This window comes from Homo sapiens, chromosome 7 (assembly GCF_000001405.40).
Source record: "Homo sapiens chromosome 7, GRCh38.p14 Primary Assembly".
Taxonomy (NCBI): domain Eukaryota; kingdom Metazoa; phylum Chordata; class Mammalia; order Primates; family Hominidae; genus Homo; species Homo sapiens.
Genome location: NC_000007.14, coordinates 143,860,870 through 143,877,395, shown reverse-complemented (window position 1 = coordinate 143,877,395; position 16,526 = coordinate 143,860,870). Strand labels below are relative to the sequence as shown.

Here is a 16,526-nt window from a genome sequence, read left to right as displayed (position 1 = left end):
GAAGTTCTGAGTTCTCCAAGCTGGGATTAATCTGATTAGTGTGGGAGCCAAGAGGGATGGAATGGGCTGGGAGCACAACATGCCGCACCACTGTATGAATTCCCAGCAGCTGCTGTAGCAAATGACCACAAATGGGGTGGCTTAAAATAACAGGAAGACATCATCTCACAGTTCTGAAGGCTTAGAAGTTTGAAGTCCAGGTGTCAGCAATGTGGCGATTCTGAGGCAGAATCTGTTCCCGGCCTCTCACTTAGCTCCTGGTGTTTGCCAGCAATTCTTGGTCTTCCTTGGCTTGTAGACTCATCGCTCCAATCTCTGCCCCCATTTTCTGATAGCATTCTCCCCTGTGTTTCCAAATGTCCTCTTACAAGGACATCAGTCATTGGACTATGACCCATTTGAATCACATATGACCTCATCTTAGCTTGATTACATCTGTGAAGACCTCTTTCCAAATAAGTCCTATGGGTTAGGACTTCAAAATATCTCTTTGGGGGACACAATTCCTTGCTCATTCTTTCATTCTGTTTGTTTCCTTCTGTGATGGAAAAGTATCAAGCTCTCTAAGTTTGACTGCAGAATTTAAGAGGAGAGGGCCCATTGGGGTCTCCTGGACTTCAGACACTAACACCGAGTGCTTAAATCATTTCCCAGTGTCAGCCTCATCTGCATAGTGGGAAGAATAGCCCAGCTACTGGAAGAGTGAACTGCTCTATTTGTTTCTTTGTTTATCCATTCTTCGCTAAGCTGAGCCTTTGCTTTCTTCTCTGCAGAAACCAATAGAGCCATGGCGACTCCCTCTGCTGCCTTCGAGGCCCTTATGAATGGTGTGACAAGCTGGGATGTACCCGAAGATGCTGTTCCATGTGAACTGCTTCTTATTGGAGAGGCTTCATTTCCTGTGATGGTGAATGACATGGGCCAGGTCCTCATTGCTGCCTCCTCCTATGGCCGTGGCCGCCTGGTGGTCGTGTCCCATGAGGACTACTTGGTGGAAGCCCAGCTCACGCCCTTTCTCCTGAACGCAGTGGGGTGGCTTTGCTCTTCCCCTGGGGCTCCCATTGGTGTACACCCATCCCTGGCACCTTTGGCCAAAATCCTCGAGGGCTCTGGAGTGGATGCAAAGGTTGAGCCAGAAGTGAAAGACTCCCTGGGGGTTTACTGTATTGATGCCTACAATGAAACCATGACAGAAAAGCTGGTCAAGTTCATGAAATGTGGTGGCGGCTTGCTCATAGGAGGACAAGCCTGGGATTGGGCCAACCAGGGGGAGGATGAAAGGGTTCTGTTCACGTTCCCTGGGAACCTCGTGACCAGTGTGGCTGGCATTTACTTTACTGACAACAAAGGGGACACGAGTTTCTTTAAAGTCTCCAAGAAGATGCCCAAGATCCCAGTGTTGGTTAGGTGAGTATGTTACCCCACTGGGGAGTTGGCTCCAGGGTTGAAAAGCAGACCCAGTTCTTATCTTCAGGTTGCTCCAAGGCTAACAGAAGAGTGCTCCCAGGCACTCAGATATGGAATCACTACATATCAACTAGATTTTTTAAATGCCCTGAGACATAGGAGGGGCAAGGTCCTCACTGCCCCTGTCTTCCCAAACCAGACCATTTAGCTCTTTGATAATTTGAACTTAATGGTGGCTATGGTCCCAGTGTCTTGCTTAATCAAAACTGTGCTGTTGGCCCCAACAGTTGGCATAGTTAATCCAGATGGTTTATAGGAGAGGTTGCTTTCAACAGGAATGTGAAGAAAAGGAAAACAGGCATGAAGGACCCCATGAGCCAAAGCCTAGAGAGGTGTGGGGAAGGTTTTGAAATGTCTATCCAGATGAGGTTAGGATGCAATAGGAAGTAGAAGCCTTCAGAAGTTAAGATATCAGAAAAGATGGTTCAAGTTATATGTGCTAAATCTAGGATTTAGGAGGGGCAAAAGGTTGATGATCAGTAATGAAGGAGTCAGGTGATGGGTGCAGGAGAGCCTGCACTGAAAGTTTTTGGAGTGTACTGCCCTGCCTGCTTTGCTCTCACTGCACTCCAGCACCACATATAGTGCCTAACAGATAGCAGGTCAGTAGGTGCTCAGTAAACATCTCTTGCATGCATGACTGCATGAATGAATGAGAGGGATTATAAGCTGGATTAGTCCCGGGAGCAGAAAAAGTACATTAGGCCACTCTCTATGTTGTATATTAAAACTCTCAGCATTCTCAGAACAAACAACACTGATATTTCTGACTGATGGGAATGGAGCAAGGTAGGATTGGGTGAGGACGACACACCAAGGGTACTACGAAGGTATGGGGAATGAGCTATGACTTCTCCTTGGCATGGGACTTTTAGGGAAGTTTTAGGAAGATCAACCAGAATAGTTAGTCTACTATGTTTTTGGACAAAAAGATGACTCGTATCATTTTAGCCCAAATATTGGGCTTCTGCAAAGGAGTTCAAACTCTCTGTTCATTCATCCATTTATTTAGCCAGGGTTTATTAAACATATTATATATCCCAGGCATTATTTCTTATTTCAAGAACCTGATTTGCAAAGATCTGAGAATTAGGGGCACAGGAACATCTCCAATTACAAGACTTGGAAACAAAAGTCAAAAACCAAGTAACTGTTGTAGGAAGAGGGTTATGCTATCATTGTTCATAAAACCTGGAAACCTGGGATCTATAACCAGTAATGGCACAGTGTGGCACTAGCATGTCCTTTCAATTCTCTTTTTCTCTCTAAAGGAAAGTGGTGGCATAGAAGCTCCTACTGTCCCTTGTAGGACATTTTTCAGTCTACAGTGATCTCTGTATGTTCACAAAGTCATCAGAGATGCATAGAAAAGAACGCCGTACAAATGGTCATACTCTAAATGCCCAAATGCTCCCATAAATTTGGTTTGAAAATACCCTCACGAAACCTGAATTGACCAGCCTTATAAATTGATGCTATCCATGCCCCCTTCAGTTTGAAAAATGGTGAAGGGATATTAGACACAAAAGAGACTTGGTTGTAAGTTTATTTATAATAAGGATCTTGCACATCCTTGGAGGTCGTTGCTGGTTATTGCTGGTTATATGTTAGGCATATATAGAATCCTAATTATAGGTTTTAGGTCAGAATCAATGCCCAGGCATGGTGGGGTGAATGTATTTACCTAACTCCTGCTTTGTACTTCTTACTATATGCTTAGCCATATATACTAAAATTGTTTTAACTGATTTTCACAAAATAGAACTTTTTAGAGAGTGAGTACAAGTGGCAAAATATGCTGTTTTATAAGAGAGATTGCCAAATCACAATTGTTTTCTTTTCCTTTTAATGAACATTTTTCCTTTTTAATTTTAAAATATGTGCTTCTTGGGAAAAAAGTAAAATAATTCAGAAGCATACAAAGTAAAAAGTGAAAGATCTTTGTCCTCCACCTCATCCTCTGCCTCTCGCTAATTCTTTTCTTCCCCCCTTCCAAAGAAATGATCACTGCTAATGGTTTGGATGGTATCTTGTCTGATGTTTTTCCTACATTTATGTATTGGGGTTAGAGTTGGGAGAGCTGGACTGGTAGAAAGAGACACAGAGAAAAAGAGAGAGATCTGCAACTTGCTCTTTCACTGACTATATCCTGAGCGTTTTTTTCATATCCCTGTAAAAAGATGGGCATCATCCTTTTGAAGAGCATCTTGCATTCAGTTGGATTGTCCTGAAATTCATTTAACCATTTGCCTATTAGCACATTAATGTTATTTCTATTTTTTCTTATAAATAATAATACAATGACTATCTTTTCGCTACCACCCCTAAGCTTGACATACACCTCTTCATTTTAAAGACTTGGTAATTTCCGTTTAGAAACATCTTATTTTGGAAATTTTCAAACACGTAACAGAAATAGAAATAGAACAATGAGCACATGTACTCATCACCCAGGTAATGGTATCAAATCACACCCCACCCACTCCTTAACCTTTCCCGTTTGTTTTGAAGCCAATCTCCAACAGTGTGTCATTTCACCCATAAAATAGTATATCTCCAAAAGATAAAGACAAAATTTTAAATGTAGTCACAATACTGTTATCCCATTTTTAAAATTATCACTATTTTTCTGTCCTAACAAAATGTCAAAAACCATATCATTTTCAAGAGGATTCCATAAGTGTCATCTGTTATGTACCTATATCTGTACTTACCCTTTAGATCAACTGATTATATAATCAGTTAAGTCATGGAAATATAAATAATATATTTATATTATATATTGGTCTAAAGGATAAGTATAGAGATGTATATCACAATTGTTTCATACTCTCAGTGTGATTTTAGAATTGAATTTGGCTTTTGCTTTATATATTTCAAAGCTATATTTTAGGTTTATAAAAACTCATGACTTTTTTATGGCTCATACATTTTTGTCATCTAAAATATTATTTCTTGCATTTAGTATTTTTCACCTTTATTTTGTCTAATATTAATTCTGACTCCTACTTTGTTTTACTTGTTGATCTTTTTATTCTTTCTTTTGCTTTTAAAGATACATCTCTTAGTACAAATCTGATTTTTTAACCCAATTGAGGGTTAAAAATTTATATAATTAAGGACATTGATGTTTTTATATAATTAAGGACATTGGTGTTTTTCTTCTAGTTCCATCATCTTATTTGATGTTCTTTGTTAAACAGTCTCGTTGCTTCTTTTCAAATTTTCCTTTGCTGCCTTTAGCTTGATTGATGGAGTTTCTTTTCCCCTTCTCTCTGTTTAGAAGTTATACACAATTTTTGTATCATTATTATAGCTACCTTTAATTTTTCCCAGCTCTTTCTTTCAAATTTTTCACACTTAAGGAAAAGTTGTCAGAATAACATAATAATCACCGCACCCTTTACCTAGATTCACCAGTGGTTACATTTTGCCACATATGCTGCATAAGTATACATACGAAGAGATTATTTGGCCTAGCCATTTGAGAGTAACCTACAGATCTCAAGAATGAAGGAGGCAGGTGATGGATATGACACTTCATACCTGAATACTTCAGCCTGTATCTCCTAACAAGGACATTTTCCCATATAACCACAATACAGTTATCTCACTCAAAACATGTAACATTGATAGAATGTTGTTATCTAATGTCCATGTTCAAACGTCTCTAATTGTTCAAAAAAATCCCTTTTTTAGATTTTTTAAGATATAGGATCTAATCAAGTTTCCATATCATATTTCTTTAGTCTCCTTTAATCAAAATAGTTCCCTAGCTTTTTTTTAAATCTTTCAGGACATTAGTATTTTTGAAGTATGCAGTCCCGTTGTTTTATGGAATGCCCTTCAGTTTGGCTTTGTCTAATTGTTTTTTTTTTTCATGATTACACTCAGTTCACACATTTTTGGCAAGAAAATAATTTATGTTGTTTTCATCACAGTGTCACAAATTAAAGGTGCATGAGGTCAGTTTGTCCAATTACTGGTGATGTTAAAATTGGTCATTTAATTAAACTGGAGTTTGCCAGATTTTCCTATTTTACTGATTTTATTTATTATATTTTATTTCTACTTATTTTATTCCTTTCCCCCTTTTTTAAAACTAATTTAGTGTGTGACAATTTGAGATCTGTATGAATATCCTGTTTGCCAACAACCTTTCACCCAGTGGTTTTAGCTTTCATTGGTGATCTGTGCCTGAGTAAATATTTATGAAAGTGGCTACTTCTACCACTTCAGCCACTTCTGAACCTTTCTTCAAAATTCATCTCAGGTATCACATCTTTAGAAAGCTGTCCCTTACTCCTCTCCTCTCATTCTGATATAGATGAGTCTTTTGTGCTCCCATACTAACCTAACATCTTAGCACTTACCTCAGGCTAAGTGTTGGTTTACTTGTAGATTTCTATAAGAACTGATTGACATCCTTTGGTAAATAAGACCTTCGCTTCCCCACCTTCACATTTACTGTTAGGGTTGTTCTTCTTTTTAAACGTTTGTTTTAGTATCACCCTATACTCATGGATCCTTTTCTTTTAAGATCGAATACATTACAATCCATTTATAGTCAGTATTTTTTGAAGGCTAAGTTGTCCCAAATTTGGCAAGTTAAAGCCTCGTTAAGCTGTCTCCTGAGCCCATCAGTTTTTTTTTAGTATTTACTTAGTTTCTGACATAAAAAGATGTTGCAAGGTTACCTTTTACTTTTCTGGTTCAAAACCTGGATTCAGCCATTTCCTCAAGGAATGCTAGTTCCTTCTAGTGGTGAACGGTATTTAGAAACCAAGATCTAAAGCATGCTCAGTGCTATGGTGTCATCATTTCTGGGTTCTGAGAGAGCCATATCTTTTAATCATACATTCACACTGATACCCCCAATTTTACTTCAAAACCACAGGATTCTTCTTCTCTTTCACTCATTCCATATTAGTATTTTTCTTCTGCCATAGTGAGAATCCTGGTTTCAACAGCTTCAACATTTACCTATTTGCTCAGTCCAATAATACACACAAACGAGTTTCATGATTCCTATACCCATACTATTGCCAATAACAAACTTGATAAGTTATTTTTGCCTTCTGAATACACCACACTGAGCATATAGAGTCCAGCAAGTACTATATTCAAAAGTATTCAAATTGCTTTTTACATTTGGGCCTGTTTTTATTCCATGTGGGGTTTTCTCCATATTTGTTTATTTAATTTTATTTTATGAATGCTAACAGCATGGCTACAATAGCAGAATACACATTCTTTTATGTGCACATGAGATAGTCATGAAGATAGACCGTGAAGATAGACCATCTGCTGTGCTATAAAATAAGCCTTAGCAAGAGTAAAAGAATTGAAATCATACCATATATGTCCTCATCACAGTGGAATTAAATTAGAATTCAATAACATATCTGAAAAATTCCTAAATATTTGTAAATTTAAAAATGTTTCTAAATACTCCTTAAGTCAAAGCAGAAATTACAAAGGAAATTAGAATATATTTAGAACTGAATAAAAATGAAAGCATAACATGTCAAAAATTGTGCAATTCTATTAAAACAGTGCTAAGAAAGATATGCCTTTAAATACTTTTATTAGGAAGGAAGAAAATTTGAAACTCAGTGAACTATGTTTCCATATTAAGAATCTAAAAAAGGAAATTGAATTAAACCCAAAATCTGTAGAAGAAACGAGGAAATAATAGAGCAGAAATCTGTGAAACAACTTTAAAAAAAAAAGTAAACAGTAAAACCAAAAGCTGATTAGTTGAAAAAAAATCATTAAAAGTGATTAACCTCTAGATAAGCTATGAAAATAGGAGAGATAACACAAATTATGGATTTCAGGAATAGAAGAAGGAATATTAGTACAGATCCTACAGACATTAAAAGGATAGTAAGGGAATATTACAACTTTATGCCAATAAATTTGACAATTTAGATGAGATAGATAAATTTCCTGACAGCCAAAAATTACCAAAATGGATACAAAAAGAAACATGAAATATATGCTAAATAAATTGAATTGTAATTTTAAACATTCCAACACTAAATGCAATGTGGTATCCTGGATTGGATCCTAAAAGACATTGGTGTGAAGAGTGATGATATTTATATAAAATCTGGAGTTTAGTTAGTAGTGTTTGATCACTGTTGACTTCTTAGTTTTGACAAATGTATAATGGATGTTTTACTATATTGCAAGTTTTCGATTTTCTTACATTTTAAAATAGAAATTGTATTTAAAATCAACAACGCAAAGAAAATTCCAGGCCCAGACAGCTTCATTGATGAATTTTATCAAACATTCAAGGAACAAATAATACAAATCCTACATAAACTCTTTTTAAAAATAGAAAAGGAAGATCTTCCAACTTGATTTATTAAAACAGCATTTCTCTAATACTGAAACCAGAAAAGGACATCGTAAGAAAACTACAAAACAATATCCTTCATGAATATAGATGAAAAATTATTAATAAAATATTAATAGAATACGGAAATATATAAAAAGAAGAATACTTCATGACCAAGTAAGGCTATCCTAGGATGAATGACTGGTCTAACATTCAGTAATCAGATTAACTCACCATATTAATAGAATGAATGAGAAAAACCATGTAATTCAAGGCTGGGCATGGTGGCTCATGCCTGTGATCCCAGCACTTTGGGAGGCCAAGGTGAGTGGATCATTTGAGATCAGGAGTTTGATTTGAGACCAGCCTGACCACCATAGTGAAACGCTATCTCTATTAAAATACAAAAGTTAGCTGGGCATGGTGTTGTGTGCCTGTAGTCCGAGCTACTGGGGAGGCTGAGGCATGAGAATCATTTGAACCTGGGAGGCAGAGGTTGCAGTGAGCTGAGACCGTGCCTCTGTACTCAGCCTGGGCAACAGAGTGAGACTGTCTCAAAAAAAAAAAAAAAAAAAACCAAAAGAAAAATAAAAACCATATAATTCAATAATACACATACAAAATATTGACCAAATTCAATACCAAATCATACCAAATTATGATAAAATTTCAGCAAATGAGAAATAAAAAGGAACTGCTTCAACCTGATAAAAATGTCTACGAAAAATATATAGTTAAAAATATTCTTAAAGGTGAATACTGAACATTTTCCCCTAAGACTGAGAACATGACAAGGAATAATACCTGCTCTCACCTCTTCTATTCAACATTGTGCTACAGGTCCTACCCAGTGTAATAAGGCAAGGAAAATAAGGCATAGAGATTGGAAATTTAAAAAAATATATATATATGTGTTTTGTTTTTCTAGAACACTGAGCCAAAAGACAGGAAATGTTTGAATCTTGGTGTTGGAAAACAAATTTAAAAGAAAAAAGTATTTTACACATTTAGAAGATTTTTAAATGACAAGATCCATTTAAACATAAAGTTAGAGCATTTCCTAGAATGGAATTATTTTATTTTTAGAAGTATTTGCAAAAAGCATGATCATCTATGTAAAAAAAAATCCTAAAATATCTACAGTAAAGCTATAATAATTAATTTTAACAAGGTTGTAAGATACAAAATTCAATTTACAAAACCCAATTACTTTTTTAATATATTAGCAACCAGCAATTGGTAATTACAATTTTAAAATACAACATTTAAAATAGAACCCAAATTATGAAGTAGTAAGTGTTAAATTTAACAAAATATGTCATGAGACCTGTATGGTGAAAACTACAAAACATCTCTGAGAGAAATTAAATAAAACCTAAAGAAATGGAGAAATATACCATGTTGATGGATCAGAACACTTGATATTTTAAGATGTCAGTTTCCCCATTAACCTACAGATTTAATGCAGTCCATAGTTCAAACCGATTCTAAAAATATACAAATGAAATGGAACTAACATAGGCTAGTTTTAAGACTTTTTACAGAAATGAAGTAGTCAAAACACTTTGATATTGGCATAAAGATAGACATGCAGATCAATGAAACAGACCAGATAGTTTAGAGATAGACCCACAGATTTATGGTAAATTGTTTTTTGACAGAGTTGCTCAGGTAATTCTATGAGGAAATTACAGTCTTTCCAACATATGGTTCTGGAACAACTGGATACCCTTATGGAAAAAAGGTGAATTGTGACCCTCACCCTACTCCATAAAAGCAAATATTTAAAAATAGATCTAGACCTAAATGCAAAAGCTAAATTTTAAAAACTTCTAAATGAAAGCATAGGAGAAAATATCTGACCTTGACCTTTGCAATTTTTGCCTACATAGGACACAAAAAGTACATGAACCATAAAAGGAAAAGATTAATAAATTGAGCTTTATTTTTAAAAAGTAAATAGCTCTGCAGTTCAATAGACAGTATTAAGGAAACAAAAAGGCAAGCCATAGACTGGAAAAAAAAATATTTGCAATACTTATATCTGACAATGGACTTGCATTCAGAATACATGGAGAACTCTTATATTCCAATAATGAGACCACCTATGTTTCTTTGTTTTTGTTTTGTTTTTTGAGACAGGGTCTCCCTTTCTGTCTCAGGCTGAAGTACAGTGGCACGAACATGGCACTCAAGCAATCCTTCCTCCTCAGCCTCCTGAGTAGCCAGGACTACAGGTGCACGCCACCACACCTGGCCATTTTTAAAATTTTTTGTAGAGATGGAGTCTTGCCATGTTGCCCAGGCTGTTCTCAGACTCCTGGGCTCAAGCAGTCCTGCCTTGGCCTCCCGAAGTGCTGGGATTATAGGCATGAGATACCACACCCTGCAAGTTTTTTTTTTTTAAGCCAAAATAGTTTAACACACTTCACAAAAGATAAAATATAAAAGGCCAAAAAGCCCAAATGATTCTCACTATCATTAGTCATCAGAGAAATGCAAAAAACTAAAATCACAATGAAATGCCCTATGGCCCCATAAAAATGGCTAAAATTAAAGACTCGCTATATGAATTGCTGACAAGAATGTGGTTTTATACATTGCCAGTGGGAATATAAAATGACACAACCACTTTGGAAGACGGTTTGGCAATTTCTTATAAAGTTAACTGACAATTAACATACAATTTTGCCATTTCATCACCCTTTATCCAAGAGAAAGGAAAACATGTCCACACAAAAACTTGTACATTAATGTTTAGGGCAGCAAGCCCAAACCAAAGACTACCCAAATGTCCATCAACAGATGACAGGATAAACAAAGTGTAGCCTATCTCCAGAATGGCATAATACACAGCTGTAGAAGACGATGCATTACGGATAGATGCCACAGTATGGATGGTTCTCACAAAGTTATTCTGAGTGAAAGAAGCCAAACTCAAAGGAGTACATACTTTATGATTACATTATATGAAGCTTTAGAAAAGACAAATGTTTATGGATAGAAAGCACATCAGTAGTTGCCTGCGGTTGTGTGTGGGACAGTCTCAGCTCACTGCCAGCTCCACCTCCCAGGTTCATGCCATTCTGCTGCCTCAGCCTCCCGAGTAGCTGGGACTACAGGCGCCCACCACCACGCCTGGCTAATTTTTTGTATTTTTAGTAGATGGGGTTTCACAGTGTCAGCCAGGATGGTCTCGATCTCCTGACCTCGTGATCCGCCCACCTTGGCCTCCCAAAGTGCTGGGATTACAGGCGTGAGCCACCACGCCCAGCCTAATCAATAATCTTTTAGAGTAGCCTGTCCCATTTTTTCACGAGAGAGGTAATATATCTTCTTAGAACTTTCTGATGATATGCAATACCTACTTAGAACGTTCTTCTCCATTTGTTGCTATTGTTCCCTTGGGAGTTTAGTTGGGTGCTTCTCTTTCATGCTGTTAATTTTCGTCAGATATTTGGTGGTTCTTGTCTATTTAAATTTTAAATTACATTTAAATCCTAGGTTGATCATTATTGGTTACTGCAGAGCATTTTCTTGGGACAAATGATAATCTTTGGTCCTTTGTTCCCCTGATCTTCTCTTTCACATGTACGCAGTTAGATTCTTCTGTTCTCATGGCTTTCCAATCAATCAGATACCATTTGATTTATATTTTTTATAAATGTCCCCACTATCTCAGTTTGTTGATGGCACCCTTCTCAAAATCCAATGCTATTATGGATTTACTGAGTTTCACTCTGTCGCCCAGGCTAGAGTGCATTGGCATGATCTCAGCTCACTGCAACCTCTGCCTCCCAGGTTCAAGCAATTCTCCTGCCTCAGCCTCCTGAATAGCTGGGATTATAGGCACCCGCCATCATGCCCCGCTAATTTTTGTATTTTTGTAGAGACAGGGTTTCACCAGGATTTATTTTTTTAAGTAACTTTTGTTTCACTTCAGAAGAGGGTAAGGAAGAGAAGTAAAATCCAACTCATTTTTTCAACACATGAAAGAATTACTTAGCCCCTACTGTATATAAATCGTGGCTGTTGGAACTAATAGACAGATGCCTCCGAGGGTGCCCCCTGGCTAAGCACTGAGCAAGACCTCATGTAGTCTCATTGTTCAGATGAAGTTCTAATAACTCAGTGTCTGAATCTCAGCTTTGTAGGTTTAATTTCTCTCATCAGTAGGCTCATGTAGAAATCCTGAAGCTGATGTATTCACTTAGAGCACAGTAGCCCACCTCTTCACTGATTTTACTCTTAAAAAAAAATAATTGCATGAACTTCGTAAACAAGGCCAGGTGCCATGGCCTATAATCCCAGCACTTTGGGAGGCCGAGGCAGGAGGATTGCTTGAGCCCAGGAGTTCAAGACCAACCTGAGCAACATAGTGAGACCCCCCCCCTTCTCCATTAAATTAAAAAATCAAAAATAAAAGAGAAAAAAATTATAAACAGAACTCTAATTATAAGAACTAAAACACATTTTTCATTAAATTTTGTATACATGTTTAAAGGACTACAATTGAAAATGAATTTTAAAAAATTTTAAGAGTCACCAAATTAAATACAGACTATCCAAAATGTTGCTTGAATAAAATAAATAAATGTTACAAATCTAGAATATTCTGGTTGGCCTAGCCAGTGACTTCTTTCTCTCATTAGGCAGGTGATCATGGAAAGCAGTATTACAATCACAGAGTTGTTTGGTAAGCCTCGAATCAGAGCAAGAAGAGATAGTTGAATGATGTTAATGATAGTTCTTTACCGAGTTAGAGAGTCATCCACCAATTAGTATGGTGGTAGCTTTATCTTTAGTAAAGGTTCATACTTGCTAAGAGGACCATAGCTTTCCCATCAGTAGAGCTCTGCCAGCCATAGAGAGTACAGCACGAACACTGCAAATTTGTTGTCTACCTGACCCCCATTTTTTGGTGTTATCTTACAGCTGCATCCTACTATACTATAGTAGCTGCATCCTACTATACTTTACCTAACAAAAGTGACAGAACCAACTCTGGAATCTCAAGCTCAGAGAGGCCACTCTATTCCTTAACTCCACCTTATCCAGTGTTCCATCTCATTTTGGATTTATGGGCATCTTGAGGGCTTCTAGGGCTGGATTACCCACAGACAGTAAACAGATGGTGCTGAGCAAAACCTTACAGCATGGATGTGCATCACTCCTGTTGGGCAGGCAGTGAAAAAGTGGAGTTCTAGATGCAGACAGTAAAGTCCTCTTGGGCTCAGGTAACCAGAGGGTCTCACTAGAGTTGAGGCCAGTCAGTTCCCCTACCCCACCTTTTGAGATAATAATGATTCTTCACTAGCACTACTGACTTGTCCTTCCACAGACTTTATTTGTAGGAAATTAGCTGCAATTTCCTGCAATTTATAAATAAGACTCCTTATAAGGAAAAAAAAACATGATTTCCCATTTTTTTATATGTATTGTTTAGAGGGTTGAAATAACCATGAACTAAAATCTGGAGTATTTAAGACATGGTACTGGATAAACACAGCAGGGCTCCCTTTGCAATTTCCATTGGAGAATTTGTGCTCTAAGAATGAGCAGAGCAGAATTAATGCTGAGTCCCTCTGCCACCCCTCCAACAAGTCTCCATACCCAGTGAGGTCAGAGCTGTCCATTTTGTTCTCCCAACTTTCCCCTAAGAACTAAAAATAACAATATTAGCAAAGCTAACACATCTATAGCGCTCACTGTATGCCATCCACTGTTCTAACAGCTTTATATAGAACTGTACCTCTAATAAAGAATGCATGTGTCTTTTGCAGTTGTGAAGATGACCTCTCCGACGACAGAGAAGAGCTTCTGCATGGGATTTCAGAGCTGGACATCAGCAACTCGGATTGTTTCCCATCCCAGCTGCTAGTGCATGGGGCTTTAGCCTTTCCTCTAGGGTTAGATTCCTACCATGGCTGTGTTATAGCGGCTGCCCGCTATGGCCGGGGCCGGGTGGTTGTGACTGGCCATAAGGTATTATTCACTGTTGGTAAACTGGGCCCCTTTCTGCTCAATGCTGTCCGCTGGCTGGATGGGGGCCGCAGAGGCAAGGTTGTGGTGCAGACAGAGCTGAGAACCCTGAGTGGCCTCCTCGCAGTGGGGGGCATAGACACCAGCATCGAGCCCAATCTGACCAGTGATGCAAGTGTCTACTGCTTTGAACCCGTGAGTGAAGTGGGGGTCAAGGAACTGCAGGAGTTTGTAGCAGAGGGTGGCGGGCTATTTGTTGGAGCCCAAGCCTGGTGGTGGGCCTTCAAGAACCCCGGAGTGTCCCCTTTGGCTCGATTCCCAGGAAACCTCCTCCTCAACCCCTTTGGCATCAGCATTACAAGCCAAAGCCTCAATCCAGGGCCCTTTCGTACTCCTAAAGCAGGGATAAGGACCTATCACTTCCGCTCCACCTTGGCCGAGTTCCAGGTTATAATGGGCAGGAAGAGAGGAAATGTGGAAAAGGGCTGGTTGGCAAAGCTGGGACCAGATGGTGCAGCTTTCCTGCAGATTCCCGCAGAAGAGATCCCTGCCTACATGTCTGTGCATCGACTCCTGAGGAAGCTGCTAAGTCGATATCGGCTTCCAGTAGCAACCCGAGAGAACCCTGTTATCAATGACTGCTGCAGAGGTGCTATGCTTTCCCTGGCCACAGGGCTGGCCCACTCTGGAAGCGACCTCTCTCTGTTAGTCCCAGAAATTGAAGATATGTACAGCAGCCCCTATCTGCGCCCCTCAGAATCTCCTATCACCGTCGAGGTCAACTGCACCAATCCAGGTAAGGAACAAGGGTTGGAAGCTCAGTATTATGGGAATGGGGGAATGGGGACAGGCTGACATCAGCAGTCCATTTCAGGGACCCGATCATGTCCAGAAGGTGGTCTCCATTTTTTACCATGAACTTTGAAGAAGATAAGGGTTGGGATTTTAAGTACTGTTTGGAAGAGTTGAGTCAAGGCAGCATGTAGGGGAAGATACGTGCTTACGAAGGGTCTCTGGTGATGCTGGGTGGAGGTGGCATCATGGAGGAGGGATAAAGTCTGCCTACCCCTCCTGCTTTTGGCAGGCACCAGATATTGCTGGATGAGTACTGGGCTCTACATACCTGGAAGGCAAATTATAGAAGTCTCACTGCCTGAAGCTGCTGCCTCTGCCGACCTGAAGGTAAGGCCATGCCCCACCTCACCATGTAACATGGAAGCCAAAGGCTCTTCCTAGCACAGTCAGTATCTTATTTGATTCTCACAAAGCCCTGTTGGTAATACAGAGCAGGTGATTTTACCCTTGTTTTAAGGATGAAGTAACTAAGGTGCAGAAAAGCTGATTGATTGATTGATCGATTGAAATGTATAGAGCTAATACAAATAAGTGCCCAGGACTCAAACCTAACTAATTTCTGGCTCTTAAGTTTTGTGCTTTTGACCTACATCCTAGAGTAGGGAATAAGAGGTATCAAATGGAAGGTAACCTAGCACAGAGTAGGCATTCAGTAAATCTGAGTTCACTGTTCATCTCCGTATCCATTCCCATGGTAGCACAAGGTCTTTCTGACTTCAGCTTCTTCCCCATGACATCCAAGACCATTCCTCAATTGCCCAGTTCACCTTCCCTCTGTCACTTTCACATAGAACCCATTTGCAAAGTTAGTTTGCTGTCCTTCCCTATCCCCCTTGGGGGTCACTGTGATGGTTAGCATCTATTCTGTGCCTGTACCTATCCTGGAACTTGATTAGCATAAACCCAGGGAAAAGAATCCTAGGACTCTACCAAGTACCTGCCCAGGAAGAGGGCTTGGAGAAACCCTCCACTATCTTAGCCAGATCACACCACCTCCCACTGGGCCCTCTCTCTGATCAGCAAAAGGCAGGGTTCCCTCTGCCCCATTCCAAATGCCAGAATCACCACCATGAGATAGGCGATCAAGTGTTCTATTTGTTAGCAACACCAGGAGACCGGGTGTGGGAGTCAGCCCTCCTCAGAATTGGCCTTACAGGTTACACCTGGCACTTCTCACATTAATGTCTATCTAACATGACCCATTATGGAGCTGTTTGAATGCTTTGGGAAAATATTTATATATACTTCAGTCCATATGCCCCAAGGAATGCTACAGTTTCTTGGGGTATCACACATGGTTCATCTGTGGTGGGAAGGCTGGGCTCGCTTGGGTTCATGGCTGAATGACCCATCCTGAGTCCCTTGCTGGGCTCTCTTCTTCCACCCACTCGTGCCCCATGGTGACTCCTTGAGGGGGGGATCTTTCTGCTCCAGATACAGATTGGCTGCCACACAGATGACCTGACCAGGGCCAGCAAGCTTTTCCGAGGCCCACTCGTAATTAACCGGTGCTGCTTGGACAAACCCACAAAATCGATCACGTGCCTCTGGGGTGGACTCCTCTATATAATTGTGCCTCAGAACAGCAAACTGGGTTCTGTGCCTGTCACCGTGAAGGGGGCTGTGCATGCTCCATACTACAAGCTGGGTGAGTGGGAGCTCTGGGTGCCCCTGAGGGAAGGGGAAGAACTGAGATGAGGATTCCAGAGAGCATGGGAGTCCAGGAGGTGACTAGAGTCTGTTTGGTGCAGAAGGAGAGAGACACGGGCTAACAGAGGAATAAGGGTCAGCTTCCTTAGATTCAGCTTTGGGGTTGTACAGATAAAGACCAAACCACATCCTTGGAGACTTCATAGAAGGATAGAGAAAAGGG

The 16,526-nt window shown here is 39.5% G+C and overlaps 1 protein-coding gene across 8 annotated transcripts in view; it reads left to right on the top strand.

Moving 5' to 3' along the window:
- Nucleotides 1–16,526, top strand: part of TCAF1 (TRPM8 channel associated factor 1) — a 50,802-nt gene that overhangs the window by 24,781 nt on the left and 9,495 nt on the right. For 7 of the 8 annotated variants that reach the window (XM_006716191.3, XM_005250074.5, NM_001206938.2 and 4 more), the window contains 4 exons: nucleotides 774–1,407; nucleotides 13,600–14,594; nucleotides 14,883–14,980; nucleotides 16,088–16,301. In XM_006716191.3, the coding sequence (XP_006716254.1) occupies nucleotides 788–1,407; nucleotides 13,600–14,594; nucleotides 14,883–14,980; nucleotides 16,088–16,301 (1,927 nt within the window). In that variant the 5' untranslated portion in view covers nucleotides 774–787. The remainder of the gene's footprint in view (nucleotides 1–773; nucleotides 1,408–13,599; nucleotides 14,595–14,882; nucleotides 14,981–16,087; nucleotides 16,302–16,526) is intronic. The other variant, NM_001206941.2, reaches the window with a different exon arrangement.